The sequence below is a fragment of the Homo sapiens genome, chromosome 9, assembly GCF_000001405.40.
Source record: "Homo sapiens chromosome 9, GRCh38.p14 Primary Assembly".
Taxonomy (NCBI): domain Eukaryota; kingdom Metazoa; phylum Chordata; class Mammalia; order Primates; family Hominidae; genus Homo; species Homo sapiens.
Window position 1 is genome coordinate 65,130,083 of NC_000009.12, and position 23,986 is coordinate 65,154,068.

At 48.8% G+C, this 23,986-nt stretch overlaps 1 long non-coding RNA gene and 1 pseudogene across 9 annotated transcripts in view; one reads left to right on the top strand and one right to left on the bottom strand.

The window, feature by feature from the left end:
* Positions 1–4,536: 4,536 nt before the first annotated feature.
* LOC102724507 (uncharacterized) lies at positions 4,537–14,083 on the bottom strand. Of its 7 annotated transcripts, XR_428496.4 has the most exons (5): positions 13,834–14,083; positions 12,692–12,742; positions 9,196–9,278; positions 6,358–6,505; positions 4,537–5,562 (listed from the first exon to the last, which is right to left on the bottom strand). It is a non-coding gene; the product is annotated as an uncharacterized LOC102724507 (long non-coding RNA). The 7 variants fall into 7 exon arrangements; XR_950672.4 differs by lacking the exon at positions 4,537–5,562 and having other exon boundaries at positions 6,220–6,487; positions 13,834–14,081; XR_428498.4 differs by lacking the exons at positions 4,537–5,562; positions 9,196–9,278 and having other exon boundaries at positions 6,220–6,505; positions 13,834–14,071.
* LOC105379443 (methylenetetrahydrofolate dehydrogenase (NADP+ dependent) 1 like pseudogene) overlaps positions 12,976–23,986 on the top strand; it is a 42,107-nt pseudogene continuing 31,096 nt past the window's right edge. For both annotated transcript variants that reach the window (NR_160670.1, NR_160671.1), the window contains exons 1-3: positions 12,976–13,609; positions 15,772–15,879; positions 18,221–18,373. The product of NR_160670.1 is annotated as a methylenetetrahydrofolate dehydrogenase (NADP+ dependent) 1 like pseudogene, transcript variant 1 (transcript). The remainder of the gene's footprint in view (positions 13,610–15,771; positions 15,880–18,220; positions 18,374–23,986) is intronic.

A 23,986-nucleotide genomic window follows, 5' to 3' on the forward strand; every position in this document is an offset into this window, starting at 1 on the left:
CTCCCCCACTTGACAGATGGGTAATCTGAAGCTTAGAGAACTTGAATGGCTTGTCCAAGGTCACACAGCCTGTACATGGTGAGCCAGGATTAAATCCAGGCAGTTACCTGTGCCAGATGGCCTCAAACCAAACAACTGCGCTGCTCCATGCATGCCTTGCTTTCTTGTGCCTCTGTTTTATTTGTTTGTTTGTTTGATGCTTGAGATAGGGTTTTGCTCTATCACCCAGGCTGGAGTGCAGTGCCATGATCAGGGCTCATTGCAGCCTCCATCTCCTGGGCTCAAGTGATACTCCCACCTCAGCCTCTCAAGTAGTTGGGACTATGGGCATGTGCCTCGACACGCAGCCAATTTTTTTTTTTTTTTTTTTGAGACAGTCTTGCTCTGTCGCCCAAGCCAGAGTGCAATGGCGCAATCTCGGCTCACTGCAACCTCCAACTCCCGGGTTCAAGTGATTCTCCTGCCTTAGCCTCCCGAGTAGTTGAGATTATAGGTGCATGCCACCATGCCCAACTATTTTTTTGTATTTTTAGTAGAGACAGGGTTTCACGATGTTGGCCAGACTGGTCTCAAACACCTGACCTCAGATGATCAGCCTGCCTTGGCCTCCCAAAGTGCTGGGATTACAGGCATGAGCCATTGAGCCCTATCCCAGCTAAGTTTTTCAATTTATTTTGTGTAGAGATGAGGTTTCACTATGTTGCCCGGGCTGGTCTCGAGCTCCTGGCCTTAAGCAATCCTCTCACCTCAGCCTCCCAGAGTGCTGGGATTACAGGTGTGAGCCACCATGCCTGGCCAGAATATCCTAATAATTTTACATTGATTGCATCTTGAAATAGGATTTTGGCTATATGGGTTAATTATTAAAATTAATTTCACCTGTTGCTTTTTACCTTTTTAATGTGGATACTAGAAAAAATTAAATTATACAGATGGCTTGTATTGTATTTCCCCTGGAGAACTCTGTTCTAGAGTTGATAAAGGAGAAAACCTGAAGAATTGTAGACATAAGGGCCAAAGTCAAAGCCGACAGAGGAGAAGGCCCCAGGAGAGGGTACAAGGTAAGAAGGCAGACCAGGCCGGGTGCGGTGGCTCATGCCTGTAATCCCAGCACTTTGGAAGGCCGAGGTGGATGGATCACTTTAGGTCAGGAGTTCAAGACCAGCATGACAAAACCCCGTCTCTACTAATAATACAAAAATTAGCCAGGCATGGTGGTGCTTGCCTGTAATCCCGGCTACTCAGGAGGCTGAGACAGGAGAATTGCTTGAACCCAGGAGGTGGAGCTTGCAGTGATCTGAGATCACACCACTGCACTCCAGCCTGGGCGACAGAGCAAGACTCCATCTCAAAAAAAGAAAAAAAAAAGAGTTGAAAGGCACCAGTGTAGACTCCTCTTCGAGAATTCGCCTGAGGAGCGGGGAAGAGAGAACATGATCCCGTGAAGGGGCTGACAGGGTGAAGGGAGGGATGTTTCATTTTGTGTTGTTTTCAGTGGAGAAACTTCAGTATGTTTATAGGCTGAGAGAGGGATGGGCTGAAGATAAAGGACAGAGAAAAAGGACAGAGTAAAGTACCTGAATAGGCTGGACAGCTGGATTGGTGCAGAAGTGGAGGTGTCCTCCAGGAAGGAGAGGACCCCACCCCAGCCAAGGGGTGATATGTGGATACACGGGTGGTTAATGGGTCTGGTGGTAAGAGGGACAAGAGGGTGAGCTGAACATAGGAAGTGTTGATTATTTTACCTATCAAGCAGCAGATCAAGCCATTTGCTGATTTAAAAAAAAAAAGAGTACAGAGCAGCTTTGGGGAAGTCTGAGAAAATGTGAAATAGCCCAGATATGGTGGGGGAGAGGCAGCTGAGCAGGGCCCACTGGGTCCCTCAGAAGCCCCAGGACAGGAGCAGGGGAGCCCAGAGCTAGGCTGGCTTCAGATCCAGGATAAGATACAGCAGGAGAGGACAGGAACAGATGGGGGTGCAGGGGGGAGTGAGGTCAGGACAGGTTGACAGGCTGGCAGGGTCAAGAGGTAGAGGGACTGGAGGAGGCATGGAGGGTCTGAAAACAGAGGGGCCCCCATGGCCTTTCCCGCATTCCAATACCATGTGCTAAAAATACTGGATGAGCATAGGCCGGGTGTGGTGGCTCACGCCTGTAATCCCAGCACTTTGGGAGACCGAGGCAGGCCGATCATGAGGTCAGGAGTTTGAGACCTGCTTAGCCAACATGGTGAAACCCCGTCTCTAATAAGATACAAAAAATTAGCCAGGTGTGGTGGCACATGCCTGTAATCCCAGCTACTCGGCAGGCTGAGGCAGGAGAATCACTTGAACCCGGGAGGCAGAGCAGTGAGCTGAGATCACACCACTGCACTCCAGCCTGGGCAACAGGGTGAGACTCTGTCTCAAAAAAATAAAATAAATAAAATAAAATACTGGGTGAGTGAATGAACCCCACATGATTCCTTGTGTCAGGGTTGCCAACTGGCAACTCATGCACCTAATTCATCCAGCGCACAGATTTTGTTTAGATAACTTGGTTTTGAAGAACAGAAGTTTTCATCTCTCTTGAAAAATGAGCAGCTCAAGCAACACTGGCCTGCATTCCACCCTCCATGGCAACAGTCAGCTGGAGTGGCAGCAGCTCTACAGCCTTGCACAGATTGGCACTCTGCAGCCAGCCAAAGTCCCCACCGCCCTGAGTTGCCGCTCTCTTGGCCCCCGTAGCATGTGATCTACAACCCTTGCCCCGTGTCTCATGTGTATGGCTGGTTTTCCAGGGCCCGGATGGCTCCAGCCCCTCCTCTCCCTGATCAGTGAATGTGGCCCAGCCCATCCAACTCTCCCCCACAGCCAGGAGGCCAGCTCCAAGGGCAACACACCTGGAAGCTGCAACACGGATCAGTCCACTTCCCTTGTCCTGGCTGCAATAAATGGGGCCAAGGTCACACTAGCTTTTTTGGCAAAACTTCACCCTGGTGACTCACTGAGATTCCTATATATATATTTACAAAAAAAAAAAAAAAGCCCTCACTTCTTGGCACAGCCTGGCAACTAAAAATAACAACACCACAATATCCGATATAGGCTTACGCCTCACAAAGTTCTTTTACAAGTGCTACTGTCTTCAATCCTCACAACAAATCTGCACAGCAAGAATTTTTCTCCCACTCTATAAATGGGGAAACTGAGGCCGAGAGAGGCATCTTGAACTACCTGAAAGTGAGGACTTTACCCTGGCTGGGGGAGCATTAACAAGCCAGTCTTTAAAAGCTGGCAATATTTAAGCTAAGGTACAGAGCATAGAGGTTAAGGGTCAAGACTGTGATATTGGGCTGGGCACGGTGACTCATGCCTGTAATCCCAGCACTTTGGGAGGCCGAGGTGGGAGGATCACTTGAAGTCAGGAGTTCAAGACCAGCCTTGACAACTTGGTGAAACCTTGTCTTTCCTAAAAATACAAAAATTGGCTGGGCATGGTGGCATGCACCTGTAATTCCAGCTACTCCAGAGGCTGAGATGCAAGAATCGCTTGAACCCAGGAGGTAGAGGTTGCAGTGAGCCGAGATTGCACCACTGTGACAAAGCAAGACTGTATCTCAAAAAAACAAAAACAAAAACAAAAAAGACTGTGATATTAGACTGCACTGGATTTAATCTTGACTTAAAGTGTGACCTTGGGCAAAAGGCTTAGTCTCAAGGAGCCTCAGTTTTCCCATCTGTGAAACTGGGATAACAATAGTACCTACTTCACAGGGCTATTGCGAGGATTTGGGAAGATGCTGCACGTAAGGGGCTTAGCATCACAGAGCCCGGGATGCATTAGGTGCTCAATGAAAATCTCAGCAAAAGGAAGAGGAACACAGATGTGGGCAGGTATCAAGCATGTGGGCGGTGCCTATTTCCCTAACAGCTCTCAGAGGATGCACCCTCCTGCCTCCGAGGCTCCAAGGGTTAACAGCCCTCATGGGGCTGGAATGTCTTGTGGTAAGTGAATTACTTTGCCCTGGATTAAGGAGGGACAGGATCCAACTGCTGTCCTCACAGCTCAGGAGCCAAAGCAGGTGGGGAGGTAAGAGAGGAGTAGGGGAGGGCCAGAGACAGAGAGGAGACAGCAGCTAGAGCACCCGTCCTAATAACAAGGGACCAATACATGGGTACCACACTGGGTGCTGAGACTTGGCCTTCTTCACACAAGTCCTCCTGTTAACCAATAAGGAAGCTAAAGTTGTGGGCCGGGAGAGGTGACTCACGCCAGCAATCCCAGCACTTTGGGAGGCCGAGGCAGGAAGGTCACCTGAATTCGGGAGTTCGAGACCAGTCTGGCCAACATGGTGAAACCCCATCTCTACTAAAAATAGAAAAATTAGCTGAGCACAGTGGCACATGCCTGTAGTCCCAGCTACTCAAGAGGCTGAGGCAAGAGAGTCACTTGAGTATGGGAGGTGGGGGCTGCAGTGAGCTGAGATCGTACCACTGCACTCCATCCTAGGAGACAGAGTGAGACCCTGTCTCAAAAACAAGAAAGCTAAATTTGTGAACAGTTAAGATACTTGTGGATAGTCGCACAGCTAGAAGATAACAGAGCTAGGATTCAAACACAGCTCCAAAGCCCACGAAGGCCTAATTCTACACGATATAAGTGAGAAGTCAGGCTTTAAGCCAGGGAGAGACCTGCCCAAGGCAACTGGTCACTCAGTGGCAGGGTCAGGCTAAGAAACCTGGTGTTCCAATTTCCTCTCTCCCTTGAGCTCCATGGGCCCCACCACACACACGAACAGCCTCTGTCACCCCACCTTCCTCTAGCATGCACCTGGCTGCCTTTGCCTCCCTTCCCAGAGGCTGCCCCTTCTTTCTCTAGACCCTGGACCCTGCATAAGATGCAATAAACATGGCTACAGTCATGTTAAGGGCAGAGGCTCACTGGGGTAAGTGGCAGGGCTGAAGCAGGTGGAGAGGGAGCAACCTCACATCCCACCTGCAGTCTGGATTCTGTCCCAATCACACACTAAAGAAGAGCCCTTGTCAAGGTTACCAGCAACCTCCACATTGGCAAACCCTAAGGCCCCTTGCCAGTGCTCACCTTGCGTGGCCCATCTGCCGCTGCCCATGCCGCTGATGGCTTCTTCCTGGTGGAACCACTGCCCCCCTCTGTCATGCAGTCGGCTCTGGTTCTCCTCCCACCTCTCTGACCATTCCTTCTCAGGCTCCTTTGCGTGCCCCTCTTCATTCCTCAGGGCTCTGTCCTCAAACCATCCTTTTCTCTTTCTGTACACTCCTTCTAGACAGTGTTGACAACCACCACCTGTGTTGTGATGAACTTCAACTTTTTCCTTCCAGACCAAGCCTCTCCTGAGCTCCAGCCCCTTGCCTGTGTTTAACTATCTCCTGGATTTCCCTACAGGCATCTTGCCTCTCACCCTGTGCTGGGCCCCGTGCTCCAGAACAGCTCATCGGCGCTTTGCCCACATGTTCTTCTGGCAGAGTCTCCCCGATTCCATCTTCCACAGCCCTCTCAAACATGTGCTTTCTTCTCCAACCCCAGATCAGTCATCACCCTCTCTCTGTCCCAGATCAAAAACAGCCTCTTAACTGGTTCCTTCTTGCCAGCCTTGCCTGTCCTGCTTATGCTCCACACTGCACCCAAAATTACCTTTAAAATCCAAATCTGATCATGTCACTCCCCTGCTTGCCAGCCTTCAACATCGCCCATTGCCCTCTGGATTCATTATCAGAGCCTGATCATCAAGTTTCTCTTCAATCTCTCTCTCTTTTTTCTTTTTTTTTTTTTTTTTTTGAGACAGAGTTTTGCTCCTGTCACCCAGGCTGGAGTGCAATGGTGTGATCTCAGCTCACTGCAACCTCCACCTCCTGGGCTCAAGCGATTCTCCTGCCTCAGCCTCCTGAATAACTGAGGTTACAGGTGTCCGCCACCATGCCCAGCTAATTTTTGTATTTTTAGTAGAGACGGGGTTTCACCATGTTGGCCAGGCTGGTTTCGAACTCCTGACCTCAGGTGATCCACTTGCCTAAGCCTCCCAAAGTGCTGGAATTACAGGCATGAGCCACTGCACCTGGGCCTCTTCAATCTCTTTACTCTGGGTTTCCCTTCTCCCCATTTCCAGCCTTGCCCCGGATACCCCAGTGCATGGTTTCATTTGACCCCCACATATTATGAGCCCTTTCTGTCGAAAAAGACTTGATGAGAAAGCCCCCCCCCCCTTACTTTCCTCGCTGCTTCCCCAGGCTCCCAGCTCAGAGGCAAGGAATGGACAATGTGACCCATGGGGTCAGAATGGGGAGGGGGTCATGGAAGGCCCTGGCAGAGCCCACCCACTTCGTGCTGCCCGCCCACTCACCATCATGACATATGTGCTCATGAACTCGGCCAGGAACTCTCGCGCCATCTTCCTCTCATCTTCCTCGCATCATATTTCCTGGATCTTTGCTATCACGGACCAGGAGACCATTTTGGAGCCACGGGTGGACCTGATACAGTGGCCCGAGCTCATGGACAGAAAGGAGACTCAAGTCTGCCTGCTGCCCATCGGCTCTTCAACTCACAGCTGAGTTAATAGGTAACCCAGCAGACTTGCCACACACACCTCCTCTTGCCCGGGGCAGCTGGGACAGCTGGAATTGGAGACACTTGAGAGCCATGGGGACATGGAGAGGAACTGGGGTAGATGGCCAAGCCATGCCCCTTGTAGTTGGGACTGGACCAGTAAAAATGGCACACCAATGAGGCCACTTTGCAGACGGACAGGTGGGGAGCTGAAAGTGCAATCCACGGTGCCAACAAGCCTCTGGGAAAAAGTAGGGTGGGAGAGAGCAGGCTGGAAAGTAGAGCTCAGTAGTCTATGTCTGTCCATCTGTCTGTCTGCCTATCTGCTAGAGCCAGAACTTTGGGGTCACAGGCCAGGGCCTGGCAACAGTGAGGCACTCTACAAACAGCATGAAGTGTGACAAAGTCTGCTGCCGAGCTCTGTAAACAGCACTGAGCACTGAAACATGTGCCAGGTTCTGTCAAAAATGAAGGGGTCAGCAAAATGCACCAGGCTGTGCAACCAGGTCAGTACAAACAGAGGTTTGTGAGAGAGTGAGTGAATGAATGAATGAATGACCAAGAGAGCGGGAGGGAGAAAAGGAAGGACTGGATCTACTTCCTGGTGTATCTTCAGTGCCCAGCACCATGCCAGGCACATAGTAGATGTGCAATAAGTATTTGTTGAATGGGTGAAAACTGGGGAATCTGTCTTACTCCCAACTAGATCCTCAGAGCTTGCCAAAGGGCCTGGCACTTGATTTGTATTTAGTTAAGTGCACGGTTAGATGGAAAGGTAGATGAAACAGGTGAGTAACAGGTTCCAAATCTGCGTATAGGGAGAGGTATAGGACTGGAGTTTGGGGAAGGTGGCGGGGTGGGACTGGAGGATAAAGAGGAAGAAGAGGGGCTGGGCCCGGTAGCTCACGCCTATAATCCCAGCACTTTGGGAGGCCAAGGTGGGCAGATCACCTGAGGTCAGGAGTTCGAGACCAGCCTGACCAACATAGAGAAACCCTATCTCTACTAAAAAATACAAAATTAGCCAGGCATGGTGGCGCATGCCTGTAATCCCAGCTACTTCGGAGGCTGAGGCAGGAGAATCACTTGAACATGGGAGATGGAGGTTGTGGTGAGCCGAGATCTTGCCACTGCACTCCAGCCTGGGCAACAAGTGCGAGACTCCATCTCAAAAAAAAAAAAAAAAAAAAAAAAAAAAGAGGAAGAAGAGGGATACAGATACCTCTAAGTGTGGCCTTAGTCACTCTGCTATCTCACTGTCTGCATGCCCGGAAGCTGACACCAGCCCCTCAACTCCTCTGGCCAGCCCATCCTTGCATATCACGTACTGCCTTAGCTGCAGGCCTTTGCACATGCCAGTCCTACACCGAGAATGGTCCCCTGCCTCCCCAGAGCCTCCTTTACCCGCCAGCCTTCTTTTCTTGACCTAAATTTCCCTTTCTCTGGGAGAGCCTCCTACCCTCTCCTCTAGGCCATTCACTTCTTCCACATGCCCCACGGTGCCCACTCTTTCAGCTGGGGCAATGCTCATCACACTGCATAGTAATTGCTCAGTTAGGCCAGGCACAGTGTCTCACGCCTGTAATCCCAGCACTTGCTGAGGCGAGCTGATCGCTTGAGCCCAGGAGTTCAAGACCAGCCTGGGCAGTATGACAAAACCTCATCTCTACAAAAAAAAAAAAATACAAAAATTAGTCAGGTGTTGTGGTGTACGCCTGTGGTCCCAGCTAATGGGGAGGCTGATGTGAGAGGATTGCCTGAGCCCAGAAGGCAGAGGTTGCAGTGAGCTGAGATCACACCACTGCACTCCAGCGTGGGTGACAGAGCGACACCCTGTCTCAAAAAAGAAAAAAAAAAAAAGCTTAATTAATTAACGGTTTTTCTTCCTAAGGGCTGGGATCATACCAGTTTGCTTCACTGCAGTGCCTGAACATAGTAGGCATAGTAGATTCAAGAAATCTTTGGTTCCTTGGCTGGTTGTTGCCTGCTCTGTGCTGATGAGAAAGGAGCCAGGCTTCCAGGATTCCCTTGGTGTTCTTGGCTCCCTGCTCTGTCTACCTCTCCCCTGCCTCTATGGTACCTTCCCAGGACTGTCTTTGGGCTGCTGCTTGCATTGATAGGGTCTCTTCTTCAGGGCTGAGGAGGCTGGTCATGGGATAATGAGACCCCCATACGATGCTGCATGGGAGCTGGAGTTGGATGGGGGCCAGTGGAATATCCGCGCAACTCTGCATCCCCCTCCATCTACTCATCCCTGGTTTTGTTTCTCTGGAGTAAGGAATAGAGCAAGGACTGGGATGGGTGAGCCATGAACAGAGGGTCTCAGCTGAAAAGTGGAAGATGTTTTATTCCATGCCTGGACGTCTCTCATTCCCTCTGCTTACTTTTTGCTGCTGTGAGGTCAGGGGAATTTAGGAGCCCTGAGGAATGCTGCTGCTCTCCCTAGCAGGGCGAGGTGACCCTCCACTGGCTCCCATCCAACCCCACCTCCCATGCTGGAGGTAACCACAGAAGAGGAGAGAGAAGTGGACAGAGCGGAAAGACAAGAACACCAAGAGAATCCTGGAAGCCTGGCTCCTTCCTCATCACCACACAGCAGGCAAGACACAGTAAGCAACAGATAACCACCAACCAGCCAATGAACTCAAGATTTCTTGAATCTACTGTGCCTAGAATGTTCAGTCACTGCAGTAAAGGACACTGGTACAATCCAGCCTGTGGGAAGAAAAGCAATCAATTGAGCAATTACTATGCAGTGTGATGAGCATTGCCCCAGCTGAAAGAGTGGGCACTGTGGGGCATGTGGAGGAAGTGAATGGCCTAGAGGAGGGGGTAGGAGGCTCCCAGAGAAAGGGAAATTCAGGTCAAGAAAAGAAGGCTGGAGGGTAAAGGAGCCTCCAGGGAGGCAGGGATCACTCTGGGCGTAGGACTGGCATGTGCAAAGGCCTGCAGCTAAGGCAGTATCCAATGTGCAGGAATGGGCTGGCCACGGAGGAGTGGAGGTGGCATGAGATGGGCAGAGAGGGGCCAGGGCCAGGTGGCAGAAGGCCTCATGGCCCACATTAGGGAGTCTGAACTCTACCAGAGGGCCATGGGCCAAGTGGAGGGTTTCAGCAGGAGAGCTGCCTCCCCTGTGGAGGCCAGGATGGAGGAAGTGGAGTGGAGGCAGGGTGAGCATCAGCTTCTCCACAGATGGGTGGAGAAGTGGTGGCAGTCTGAGCCACAAGGATGGCAGTGCCAATGGCCACAAGAACACAGTCAAGCTGACAGGCTTGGTGTTCGGTTAGAGAGGGAAGGGAGCGGGCAGCTCAGCGATGCCCTCAGGTCCTGGCTAGGGCAGCGGAATGACTAGCGTGGGGCACAGCAGAGAAGCTGTGGAAGAATGGACAAGGAGGCCCTTTCTGGACATGTTGAGTGTGAGGAGCCTGCTAGACACTTGGGTGGGATGGCCAGTGAGGAGGCAGCTGGTCATGTGGTCTCACTTACAGACACATTTGGAGGACAGCAAATCACAGATGGTCATCTGAGCCATGGGCATAGATGAGAGAGCTCAAGGAGAGGGTACAGACTAAGAAGAGGGGCCCAAGAAAGCCAGCCTACAAAGCAAGAAACTGACAGCCAACCAGATCCCCTAAGTAATCTGTTAACCAAGGAACTAAATAGCTAACAACTCACTAACGCCTGTTTCTTTTCTTTTTCTTTTTCTTTTTTTTTTTTTGAGACAGGGTCTCACTCTGTCGCCCAGGCTGAAGTGCAGTGGCACAGTCACAGCTCACTGAAGCCTAGACTTCCCAGGGTTCAAGTGATCCTCCCACCTCAGCCTCCCAAGTAGTTGGGACTACAGGAGCATGCCACCATGACTGGCTATTTTTTCCTATTTTTTGTAGAGATGGGGTTTTGCCATGTTACCCAAGCTGGTCCCAAACTCCTGGACTCAAGCAATCCTCCAGCCTCAGCCTCCCAAGGTGCAGGGATTTCAGGCATGAGCCAACATGCCCGGTGGCTTATTAACCCTTTGACTAACCTATCAAAAACCAACTAACTGATTCTCCTGTTAACCAGCTATTAACTCATTGAATTATCTAATCAACCAGTCAACCATAAACTATCCAACTAACCACGAGCCAACAATTCAACCTGCTAACCAACATTTCTTCATTCAACAAACATTTGTTGGCCAGGCATGGTGACTCATGCCTGTAATCCCAACACTTCAGGAGGCCGAGGCAGGTGGATCACTTGAGGTCAGAAGTTCAAGACCAGCCTGGCCAACATGGCAGAACCCCATTTCCACTAAAAATAAAAAAAAAATTAGCTGGGCGTGGTGGCAGGCACCTGTAATCCCAGCTGGGGTGGGGGCTGAGATGTGAGAATCGCTTGAGCCCAAGAAGCAGAAGTTGCAGTGAGCCGAGATCATGCCACTGCACTCCAGCATGGGCAACAGAACAAGACTCCATCTCAAAAAAAGAAAAAATTTTTGTTGAGCACCTACTTATGAGTCAAGCACCAGGGATACAAAGTCAAAACCCACTCTCCACTCTTGGGTCACTCTGTTTAATAGAAGAGATGGGTAATGGCAACACCACCAGAGAGAAGCAGCCTGGGACTGGGGGAACTCAGGGGAGGCATGGGAGGTGAGGCCTGAAGGGAGTTTTGAAGAATGGGCGGGTGGTGGCCTGACATGGCCATGGGGGAGTAGGGTGGTGGTAGAAAGAATGGTGGAAGCTGTGCACATTCTAGATATTTTAGGAGATTGGTGACTGGATGTGAGGCATGGGGAAGAGGGAAGTATCAAGGACATGACCTTGACTTCTGGCTTGAGCAACTGAAGAGAAGGGGACCCCTGACTGAGCCAAGAGCACAGGAGGAGTGGACTTGTGGGGGGCGGAGGAGGCTGTTTCCATCTAGGAGCTGAGTTGCCTGTGAGACACCAGTGGGTCTCTAGAAACAGGATCTAAAGCCCTGGAAAGAGACGTAGGCTAGAGGCAATGATGTCAACAGAGGGGCACTATTCATTCTCTCCGTGCAAGTGTACAACAGGCAAATATCCCTGCTTGCGTGGAGCTGACAGCAATGAAATGTAATAAGTAAGTACATTTGTATAAGCGAAGGTACCAGCTCCTATGGGAAAAAACAGAGCAAGGAGAGGGGAATTGGGAGTGCAGGGGCTGGAGATGGGGTGTGATTTCAAATAGGGCAGTCAGAGTAATCCTTGTTGAGAAGGTGGCCTTGGAGCAAAGCCATGAAGGAGATGAGAGTGGGCTGTATGTTAACTGCAGAAAGCCTCTCAGATGGAGGGAATAGTCACCAGAGGACTCTCAGCATGTTTGAAGAAAGCAAAGAAAGTCAGTGTGAGGCCAGGTGCAGTGGCTCACACCTGTAATCCCAACCTTTTGGGAGGCCGAGGTGGGTGGATCACCTGAGGTCAGGAGTTCAAGAACAGCCTGGCGAACATGGCGAAACCCCATTTCTACTAAAAATACAAACAAACAAACAAACAAACAAACAACTAATTAGCTGGGCATGGTAGTGTGTGCCTGTAATCCTGTAATCCCAGCTACTCAGGAGGCTGAAGCAAGAGAATCGCTTGAACCCGGGAGAAGGAGGTTGCAGTGAACCAAGATCTTGCCATTGCACTCCAGCCTGGGCAACAGAACTGGATTCCATCTCAAAAAAAAAGAAAAGAAAAGAAAAAAAAAACCAGAAAAGAAACTCAGTGTGGCTGGAGGAGGGAGAGCAGGGGGCTGGAGTGGGGAGGCCAGAAAGCTAACAAGGACTACATAGGCAGGGCCTTGGCCATTGCAAGGACTGGCTCTTTTTCACCCCAAAGACAGCTGAGCCTGAGAGGGTGAGAGGTGCTGAGTGCAGTTGAGTTGAAGGCCACCTGCATGCCTTGACCCTCATCCAAGTATTTCTGAGCCTCCCCTCACCCCAGGACCCAGCCCAGGCAACAGGTGGAAGATGCTTTTCTTCTGGGACCTCAGAGGCGAGTGGGTGGGTGGGGAGGAGGAGGTCGAGGGGGGACAGCTGCCCCAAGGGAGAGGCTGAGGATGGAGCAGGGAGGGCACTGAAGTGGGCTGGGTGGAGGACAGGGGGTTGGAGGGTGAGAAGAGGGTGGGGGTACTTACCGCCTGTGCCCAGATGCTTGAACCATGTTTTGTCCTTCAGATTTGTAGATGCTGAGGAGCCAAAGAGAGGTCACTAGGGCTGGAGGACACAGAACTTGGCCCCACACTTCCATCAGATCTTTGTCCCCAGGGGAGAAGCCCTGGGGCAGCTCCTGCTAGTGCCACTCCCTTAACCCAGCCAAGGAACAGGGAGGGAGGAGCGGTGCTCAGCCAATGAGGCGACGCCCTGGAGCCCCACCCCACCCATGCTGGCCCCAGGACCCCAACCCCAGGCCAGACCCTCCAGTGCTCCTGCTGACCTTCCCTGTCTGCAGCCCAGCTTTGGACTGTGGAGATGCCCTCAGCCTCTACTCAGTGGCTCCAGCCTCATATTTGCGTGCTATACCTTTAACCTCAAGTTCTCTTGCTGCTAACTTAAGCTGTGACTGTCCAGGACCTGCACACACACATACATGCACGCATGCACACACACACACACACACACAGAAGGTGAACACACAGGATGAGGCCCTGAAAACTCATTTCACCCGTGTACCTCACCCAAAAATTCCCCTTTGTACTCCTATCTTTATCTCTAACTGACAGCATGAAGGTAGCCCGAAGTCCCCTCACCCTGTCTGTCCTCCTGATTCTCTAGCCCAGTTCCCTCTAGCTCCAGCACAGACTCTTATCTCCAGCCCTGACTGCTGAAACCCTCCAGCCCCAGCTCCAGCCCCTCAGGAGGGGACTGCGTGGGAGGAATGACTCCAGCAAGCCGGCAGCTGACCCGTCTCTGGCCTGCATGCCTCCCCCTGTGGTCCACTGCCGGTGGTCTTCAGCTCTCTCCTCGTCCCACCCCCATGGTCTGCTGACAGCCCAGCCCAGTGCATCCCTGCCATCTCTGCTCTACCGCTGGTCCTCCCAACAACCAACTTACAGGTAAGGAAACTGAGGCCCAGAGAGAAGGTGTATGTGCCTGTGTCACACAGCAACACAGGACTGCACCATAACAAGAAAGCCGGGACTTCCACTCCCAGCCGGGGCTCCTTCCCCAAACAATCCCTCAGTCACCTCCTCGCTGTATGGTACCCAGGGAATGGCCCTTCCAGATCTGGGCACTGAGGAGGCTGCCCCATCCCCACCCTGCCTGGAGCCCCACTCACTCTGCTGAAATGTCTTCTGATTCTCAGCCTCTGCCTTGGGGGCTTCTCAGTTAAAGCGCATCTTGATCTTGTTCCTCTGTGACTGTCCCTGGCTCAGCTTCCACCCCCAGCTGGGGCTCAGCTATCCCTGTGTCCCCAGTCCAGAGCCTGCCTCTCAGCCCTCCCAGGGCGGCCTTGAGCGCTGCTCCTGCTCCTCCAGGGGAGAGGTCAGTAAGGCAGGGATTTGGCTGGTGCCACTTGAACCAAGTCCAGATGCACTGCCCAAATTAACATCCCTCGTCTGGCCAGCAGTGCAGTGGAGACCGAGTTCTGAAGCAGGCCTTTGTGAGGTCAGAGGTGGAGTTCTGGGTGGGCACTCTGGGCCTCACAGTCCCAGAGGAAAGGCCTGTCCTCCAAGCCAATGTGCAGCCTGACTCTGGGGCCAGCGCCTGAGGAAGCCCTCCCTGAGCCCCAGCCCTGGGGAAGGCTGAAGAGGCCTCTGAGCTCCCAGCGCTGGGGAGCGCTGTGCAGAATAGGACTGGAGGTGAAAGTGTTGGAGATTAACAGCCAGATGGAGGGGACGGGGGGAGGCCCTGGGTCAGTCCTCAGGGAACCCCCATTCTGAAGGGGGAGAGGGAAACTCAGGCCCAGTCCTCAGGGGCCCCCAGTCTGAGAGGAAGGAGGACACATGAGCCATATTTGCAGAGAAACACCAGCCTGCGAGAGGAGGTAGAAGCCCAGGCCTGGCCCTCCGAGGGCCCCTAGTCTGAGGAGCAGTCCACCTGCCCTCGGGAAAACACCTCCCTTAGGAAAGGCCAGCAAGGCCCCCGTAAAGGAGCCACAGCTGGATCGGGGCATGGGGCTTGGGGCCCAGCGGCGTGGGAGCTCCGGGACCGAGGTGCAGTCAGGAGAGACCCTGGGGGCCAGTGGCAGTCCAAGAGGACTTTTGGAGCCAAGGCCTGACTGGGTCTCAAACAATGGGGCAGGCAGTTTGGGGTTTCAGCAGGTGGCCCGGTGCTGAGACACAAGGGAGTTGTTTCTGGTCTGCAGACACTGAGGACACTTGCTATGTGGTGTGGTGGATGGTGGGTAAGTCCTGGGAATTTCTGGCACCAGGTTCCCTGGGTGGGAAGGGGCATAGGATTCAGTTGTCCAAAGCTCAGGTGTGGGAATGGAACTGTCCTGTAGAGGGTGCCAAAGACCAGGTCTGGAAACTGCATAGCCCCAGTCCCCACCCCCACACACACCATCCCACCCCTTCCAGCTTTTTCTGCAGATCTTTCTGCAGGGGTGAGGCAGGGAGAGGAAGGGGTCGGCCGCAGTTCTGGGGCTTCCTAGTCAGAAGCCCTCTGTAAGGCACTAACTTCCCTCTTCCCTCTGCAGATTTTTTTTTTTTTTTTGAGACAGAGTCCTACTCCACCCAGGCTGGAGTGCAGTGGCACAATCTTGTCTCACCACAGTCTCTGCCTCCCAGTTCAAGTGATTCTCCTGCCTCAGCCTCCCAAGTAGCTCGGATTACAGGCATGCACCACCAAGCCCAGCTAGTTTTTTTGGATTTTTAGTAAAGACGGGGTGTCACCATATTGATCAGGCTGGTTTCGAACTCCTGACCTCAGGTAATCCACCCGCCTCGGCCTCCCAAAGTACTGGGATTATAGGTGTGAGCCACTGTGCCCGGCCTCCCTCTGCAGATTCTACATGGGCTCTAAGCAGCCTCTAAATTGCCTGAACACCTAAGGCTTATTTGCTAGTTGACATCTGATCTATTCTGACACTGAAAATTTCAGTGCTTTAGGGTGCTAAAAGGAAAAAAGAGGGTTTGCAAGGAATCCTGCAGTTGCTGAGGGGGTACCCTGATAAGGGAATTTTAAGCAATTACAGTAAGTGTCACTAAACTTTTTAAAAAATCTTTAACCAGATTAAACTTACACAATTTTGTTATAATTTGTGTTTCTGCAGCTTCCAATTGTGGACAAGATAAGGACCATTGCCCAGGCTGTCTATGGAGCCAAAGATATCGAACTCTGTCCTGAGGCACAAGTCAAAATAGATCGTTACACTCAGCAGGTAAAAGTTGTACTTTTAGGGGAAAAGAAAAAATTCACCTTAGGCTCTCAGAATACTCAGCTTGACTTGAGGATTTGTACATGTCTCACCAGCTAACCTTTGCTTAATCTATTTTCTGGTTAACAAAGATGAAAGCAATATCCTCGGGTAGAGTGTAAACTATATTTAGAACTTTATGGTGAGGCATGTATCCTCTGATCCATGCATCATTTACTTCTGTGACTATAAATGTGTCTGATATGGGTGGTATCCCTGTTTGTAGGTGATGTGTGATCTTTCATCCCTCCCACTCAGCCCAGAACGTTGAAACTATCCTTTGGAGTAGAGCTGCGGAGTCAGATTTGCATGAATTGCAATGCTTCCTCTTCCTTACAGGCCTCTTACTACCTTAAAAATGCTAGCAAGGTGCCAGGGTAGGCAGATAGGAGTGCAGCCTATAAAGATGGGAATGTTTGCTGTTCTTATGCAAGCGGTTCATTGGCTTTTTACTGAGCTGGTCCACTGAGGTTGAAGGCTCCATCATCTTCTACCTCTAGCCACTGAGAAAGGCAAGTAGGCAAACAGCTGGGAAGGTGGCTACGATCTGACAGCATGTGTCATCACCTAGTCCAGTGACAGTCATGATGAATCAACTCCATTATAGGAGGCTCAGCCACCTTTTACCAAAAGGATCATGTGCCTCCAGTGTCCCTCCTACTTTGGTGTAATCAGATAGATAGAAGTCAGAACATTTTAAGAGCCTGTTGGCTAAAGAGCTTCATGATTGGTAGTGTTGACCTTATCTTTAAAAACAATCTCCAACTCCTTATTCTTTTTTGTAAACCCATTTGAAATTTTGTTAAATGCTACCATTGCCAGCCAGGGTATTTGTTCTCCTAGGTTTGGTAAAATAGGAACTCAGAAAGTTCTAAATTCTTAGAATTTTCCCTGATGTTCTTGGCTTACCCTTTACAAAAAGGATTCCCAAGCACTGCTCTGTGCCTAGGCATTGTGGTGAAGTTTTCATTCATGTGCAATGAACCAAGTAAAATAAGGTCATTCTCATGAGGTTGCTTTGTTTTTTATTCCCCGAGTTTTTAATAATGATATTTAAGACTATCATTTATTGTAATATTAAGTCTTTTCTCCTTTCAGTGTTAAAATGTTATTTCTTTTATGAAGTAATCTGGTGACAGTATATAGCATACTGGTTGGTTTCTGTTTCTTTTTAATATGCCTACTAACAAAATTTTTACATTAGCAAACCTATAGAAATTACTTTAATATTTAACCATGTCTGAAATTCAAAATTCTGGCACCATTCTGAAAGGCAGTTGTGATTCTCACTCAGCAAAATTCTTATCAGTATAGAAGAGTGGAGATTTCAAAAAGAAAATGGCCCCAAGCCCAAGTCCTCCCTAAGTTGATAAGACTCTAAGATCTTCCAAATAGTTTTAGGCTAAGTCTTATGAAAATTTGACTAAAGATTTCATTCCCTTTATCTCTATCAAGGAAATACTCCTTAAAAGTCGTGTCAACCAGGCACGGTGCTCACACCTGTAATCCCAGCACTTTGTGGGGGCAAGGCAGAGGATCAGTTGAAGCCAGGAGTTGAGACCACTCTGAGCAACATAGCAAAACCTCCATCTCTATTTTTATTTTTTTTAAAGTTAGTGCCAAGTATGTGGTTGCAATGAATTAGCAAAGCCTCTAAAGGAACACTGTGTGCCATTTAATCAGAAACAGGCTTATAGGACACTGTGCTTTTTGTGAGACACCACATGTGACTTCCTGCTCTTTCACCTTTGGAACTCTGGGTCAGACATAGACTTTTGTCCTTAAAAACAAGAAGCTTAAATAGTGACCTCATCTTAGCTCTTGTAATGTAGTTGCAGATCAAATAACCATGATTCATAAACCAACACAAAGGAACCCTTTGCTTCTTGACTGACTCCAGAATGAGTGAACAACATGACTAAGAGCCTAGTCGCAGAGCCTTTCTCCAGACTACCTTGCTGGGTCCCGGATATTAATAGTCTTGGAAAGCGGTTTCTACAGCTGCTGCTTTGCCTGCAAATAGCAATGCTTTTCCCAAACATGCACATAACACTGTCTTCTCTTAACGAGAACCTCCAAAATAAACAATAGTCACCCCTGACCTACTAAACAGTCATCACATGGAGATGAGTTTTTATCCTCACCTTCTTGCTTCTTCAGTGAACAAGTAGTAACAAGCAGCTCCTGCGTGTGCCTCGATCTGAGCTGGCATACCATTGCTGCCGAGACTGTATAAAGTGCAAATTGAAAAACACAGGAGACTCACGTCTATATCAGTGAACACATTTTCTTTCCTTTCTTACAGGGTTTTGGAAATTTGCCCATCTGCATGGCAAAGACCGATCTTTCTCTGTCTCACCAACCTGACAAAAAAGGTGTGCCAAGGGACTTCATCTTACCTATCAGTGATGTCCGGGCCAGCATAGGTGCTGGGTTCATTTACCCTTTGGTCGGAACGGTGAGTGAGTCACATTTTCCAAAATCCCTCCCCATTCTGCATTGTCGCAGTGCCTCAAATCGTTATGCTCCACCCGCTCTTTAAAAATCATGGATTAGGGAGAATTGGGAGTAATTAATAGTACAGTATTCGCTATTTTTCTAAACACTCTGTCTCACCTACCTTTGCCATTGTGCTTTGGGTTTTTCTTTTTTTAGATCATGTGTTCAGGATCCTTAGAGTCATAATACTAATTTCCTTCCTAAGGCAAGTAAGAACATAACTTGGGAGAATTCAGTCTATTTAAATGGTAGAATGGCTTAGGACAGTGGTTGTCAACCTTTGTCACACATAGCACCCAAAATGATGTAATCAGTAGGGTTGAATGCTCACACCAGACAGGATCTGCCCAGTCACCCTAAGGGCTGGGGAAAGCAGTCCTCACCCTCTCACTTCCCCAGCACATCAGGTGGGAAGTTCTGGCTTAGGAAATTACTGAATCATATGAATTCTCATTTTTGATGTTGTTGTGATGGGATTACGTTGCTATTGGTTGATTATTCTGTTATTTTGTGTTATCTATGGAGGTAAAGGAGATGAGCAGAGATATAAAAGCTTATCAAAGTGCTTAAAATCCATGAAGATTGGCTTCATTTGGTATAGCTACACAGTGATAGCCTTCCGTTGGTACCATCAGTGGCCTAAATTTGATTTCTTGTCTTTGGGAGTGCTCCTGAATTTGGTTTAGAATAAAAAAGAATTCTTAAAACCTGGCAGATCCCATGGCAAGAAAAGAAAAAAAATTCTAACCCATCATTATCATCATCATTAGTGCAAAGTGATCTGAGCTTAAACAGCATACATTATAATAATTTTTTATAATAAACCATGTGGCTCTATTGTGCAAACAAGCAATAGACAGACAAAAAGTGCAGATTCTTGCCTTGATATTTACATGCTTCATCTAATATTGGACACAATGTTTTTTCAATCAGCATCATTTGAATTCTTCCTGCATGTGAGGCACAGAGATTTTAAGATGAGCAGGTGTGAGATGCATGGATTTGAATAGCATAGAGGTATCTGGAGAGCATTGTGTTGGTATTCTGAATACCCTCAGATCCCAGGGGGATAACAGCTCATTATGCCTGGGGTAGAACTTACCTGGGCTGTGGAAGAAGAGGGGATTCTTCAAAAAGGGCTCAACCTCTGAACTGGCAAAACAGTGAGTTTTGACTCAAAGGCACCAGAGTACTAATACATGACATCCTCTCCTGGGGTGATCCAATGTGGCTGGAGTTGGATGAGGTGGGGAGGCTGGGGATGGGAATGGGAATGGGATTGGGATAGCAGGACGGGGTCACATGGCCAAGGATCTTGAAGACCATCTCACGGAACTTGAATCTGATCTCTACACACTGAGGAGCCACGGTAGGGTGGGTTTTTTGTTTGTTTCTTGGTTTTTTATTTTTTTGATTTTTTGTTTTTAAAGAAGGAGGAGAAGAATGTGGTCTGATGTGTATTTTAGAAAAATAGCTCTGGCAGCAATGTGGAGAATGTTTAGTGAAAAGAGAACCAGGCCCAGAGAGGTGGGTTAATTCAGCTGGGGCCAGAGGAAATCAAGGTCCGCACTTTGGCCACAGAAGTAGATACAGAGAGTGGGGGGTGAATTGCAGACATACTCTAAAAGTATCCTCCTACAGTAGGGGCCGGGTGAAGGGACTGTTCTAGCTTGGTGACTGGCTGGTGATGCCATCACCGTGTCATGGAAAGGACATGGGAGGAGGCAGATTGGCCAAGCCAGAAATGAGCCTGGCTTGAAGAGAGAGAGCTCAGAGGGTTAATAGGATCTAAGGAACAGTCTGTGTCTCCACTGGAAATACAGATACAGCTCTCCAAAGAAAGGGGCAGGAAGGTCGCCCTGGTGGGTTTAAGGATATGGGTGAAGGCACTCATTAAACAAGAGACACAGGGATAGCTGGAAATCAGTGAGAAGAGAGTAAAGGAAGACACCCCTGAAACACCCACTTTAATGCAGCCGACTCCTGGCAGGGGTGCCTTCCAGAAGGCAGGAAGGAAGGAGCAGGGGCATGGCAGAGAACGTCCAGAAAAATCCCACAGACACCGCTCACAGCAATGTTGACACAGAGAGAAGGGTCCAGATGAAATGGGTTCTGAATGACATTTTCAGGTCTACAGTTCAGATCAGCAGTTGCCAGGAGCTGGGGGAGGGAAGTGTTTGACTGCAGAGGGGCAGGAGGGAACTTTTTGGGATAATGGAAATATCCTATGTTTTGACATGGTAGTGATTCCATGGCTATATACATTCTTCCAGACTCATAGACCTATACACGTGTGTTGCCCAGGCTGGACTCAAACTCCTGATCTCAAGCAATCCTCCCACCTCAGCTTCCCAAGTTGCTGTGACTATAGGTTCGTGCCACTGTGCTGGGCCTGTGTATCATTTAGTTATACCTCAGTTAACAAAAATGGGTACTGAAGAGCTTGCTGTATATTCCTTAGAATGGCCTCAGTCAGCCGGGTGCAGTGGCTCATGCCTGTAATCCCAGCACTTTGGGAGGCCAAGGTGGGGGGATCACAAGGTCAGGAGTTTGAGACCTGCCTGGCCAAAAGGGTGAAACCCCATCTCTACTAAAAATACAAAAATTTGCTGGGCATGGTGGCGGGCACCTATAATCCCAGCTACTTGGGAGGCTGAGGCAGGAGAATTGCTTGAACCTGGGAGGCAGAGGTTGCAGTAAGCCAAGACTGCACCATTGTGCTTCAGCCCGGGTGACAGAGCAAGACTCCATCTCTAAATACATACATACATACATACATAGAATGGCCTCAGTGATGGCCACTTTACTCCTGAGCTTTAGTTGGCAAAGGCCTTGGCTTAGGGATAAGAGGGTGGCTGGACAGTGCAGGCCCAGAGAGACTGGACCATCAGGGGAAGTGAGGGGTGATGGAGGTGCCCAAACAGAGCATGAAATGGTAGAGTAGATGAGAAGGTTAGCCTCGATCACGATCTGTCCTGTCCTACCCTCTGCGGACTCTAAACCCCGCAGCAGTTCACCCAACAAATTCATGCACTCGGCCAATGCTGCATAAGGCACTCAGCTCGGGGCTACAGGAAGCCCCAACCTAAAGAAACTTTCTCTGCTTCAGGTAGTTTACAGCTGGTAGAAGCAGATAGAAGTGAATTAGCAAAGAAAATAGTTTGATATAAAAATTGTGCATTTAACTGCAACCTTAATTCACTTCTGAGCATTTAATAGCCATTAAACAAAAACCAGGGCCCACACAGTGGTTCACACTTACAATCCAAACACTTTTGGAAGCCAAGGTAGAAGGATTGCTTCAGGCCAGGAGTTCAAGACCAGCCTGGGCAACATAGCCAGACTGTATCTCTACTTAAACCAAAATTAGCCAGGAGTCATGGTACACACCTGGAGTCCCAGCTACTCAAGAGGCTGAAATGGGAGGATTACTTGAGCCCAGGAGTTTGAGGCTACACTGACCTATGATCATATCATTGCACTCCAGCCTGGGAGATAGAGTGAGACCTCTGTCTCTAAAAAAATGGAATAAAATAATAAAAAACACAATATAATTTAAAATCTTTGGAGTCACTAAACAAATATACAATGTGAATCTCCTCCCACTCCAGCTAACACTACCATATCCAACACCAGGTAAAGACCAAAGCCGTTCTGGGAAATCAGAATCTGTTGCCATGGCTCATGCCTGGACACCAGGCTGTCCGCTCCTGATGTCACTCTTTGACTTATGACTTGTTAGAAAATGAATGCGTGGAATGGCCCTGGAGGAGCCGCTGCAGCTCTCTGGGTTTCCTGAAGTGAGCCCTCTGTGTCATTATCTGGTCTTCTCAGCCCTCAGCCGAGTTCCTCCTGTGGCCACATGTGGGGTCGCAGTGAGCATCAGTGCACAGTGATAAAATCTGGAACAATAGGGTGTTGGGTGTGAGGGAAGGGAGTGGTGCCTGACTACAGAAGTTCCTGGAGGTCAGGAAACTCTCACTGGAGGCAGTGGACCTAGAGGGCTGCTTTCTATGACAGAGCAGGAAGCTGCATGTGTACTGGGACACATGCAGCAGAGGGGCCAGGATCTCCTAATAAGGACTGGTATTTACTTTTACTTGAACCCATTCTGGGCCTTACCACAGTGTGCTGAAATGCCTTGAACATTCATCACCCATGTGGGAGAAAGGATAGTAATTTCCTGCTGAGATGACTGAGGGGACAGGGAATGGGGACACCAGGGGGACTGGCTCCTGCAGGTTGGAAAATTCTAGCAAAACGAATCACTCTTCTGCTTAGTCACCCAATGTGCGCTTATTAGAGTGCTGCTGAAAAACATATTCGTCTATCCACTCCAGAAAGATAGTCCAAACTGAGACCTCAAGATCAGAAAGGCTCCCAATCTCCTGCAGGGTTCATTCATTTACTCAGTGAATTATTAAATGCCTACAGCACGCAGGGCCATCAGCCCAACGGCTATGAGAAAGAGATTCAGTCCTTTCCTCACAGGCCTTATGATAGACTCCAGTAAATAAAACAATACAGGCACAGAATGTGGCAGGCTTTATAAGAAAGCCTCTCTTGTTGTGTCCTCAAGGGAAGCAGAGAATCTCCCCTCTGGCTCTAGTTGGAGAATCCCAACCCAAGCAAGTCCATCTTTGAACAATAAACATCTCCAGTACTGCTGGCTTTGGAAGACCCCATGGTGAGATGCTGGAGCTTTTTTCCGCTCCTGATTTCACTTTCTAAATATTTACTTTTACTTTCCATGTTCACTTGTAGGCCAGATTTTTTTTTCCTACCATTGAATTATTTCATCATGTTCTATTTAATTACTGTCTTAATTGGCATTGGTGACCACAAATAATAATAAATACTATTAACTGATGTAACAGCTTCACTAGTCTATTTAACTTCCCCATGCTGTTGTAACTGAAGCACCCAGCACAAGCATTCCCAGCTCGTGGACGTCTAAGACCTTTGAGGTCATTCTTACATGCATTGCTAGTGTTTTCCATATTCCTTGATGGTAACCAATTTTTCCTTCCTAAAATAACTTTCTTCATTCCTAGTAAGCTTCATATGTATTTTGTGTATTCTTCTCTCTTTTTTATGACATTATACATATTATTGAAAGCTAGAAAATAATACAAGATGCTTGACTGACATAATACCACTTAGTACATCTTTTTGTAAGAAATAGATTTTCTAATACAAATCTTTGATATAGGAAGAAATGAGCAAGTGTTTTTTAAGGTTTTCCAACCCTATATTCTACTACAAATTACCCTGTTATCGTATGCTTCCAAAATTCTTTCAAGGATTACAGTTTATAGTGTTCAATAAACCTAATAGTTTATAAAACTTCTCAAAAAATAATCTCATGCCAAAAATAATTTAGTAGTAGGTGGTCTTTGTCTTGTGGTCACATTGTTTTGATATTGTCTTTAAGTTTCTGTAATTTACAAGGGCTGTTTAATCAGTTGGCATAAATTTCATGACAAAAATGCTAATATGTAAGCAAAGTATATGAAATGATATTTTTGAGAAGTAAATTACATTCCATATAGAAAAAGACTAGAAAGACTAC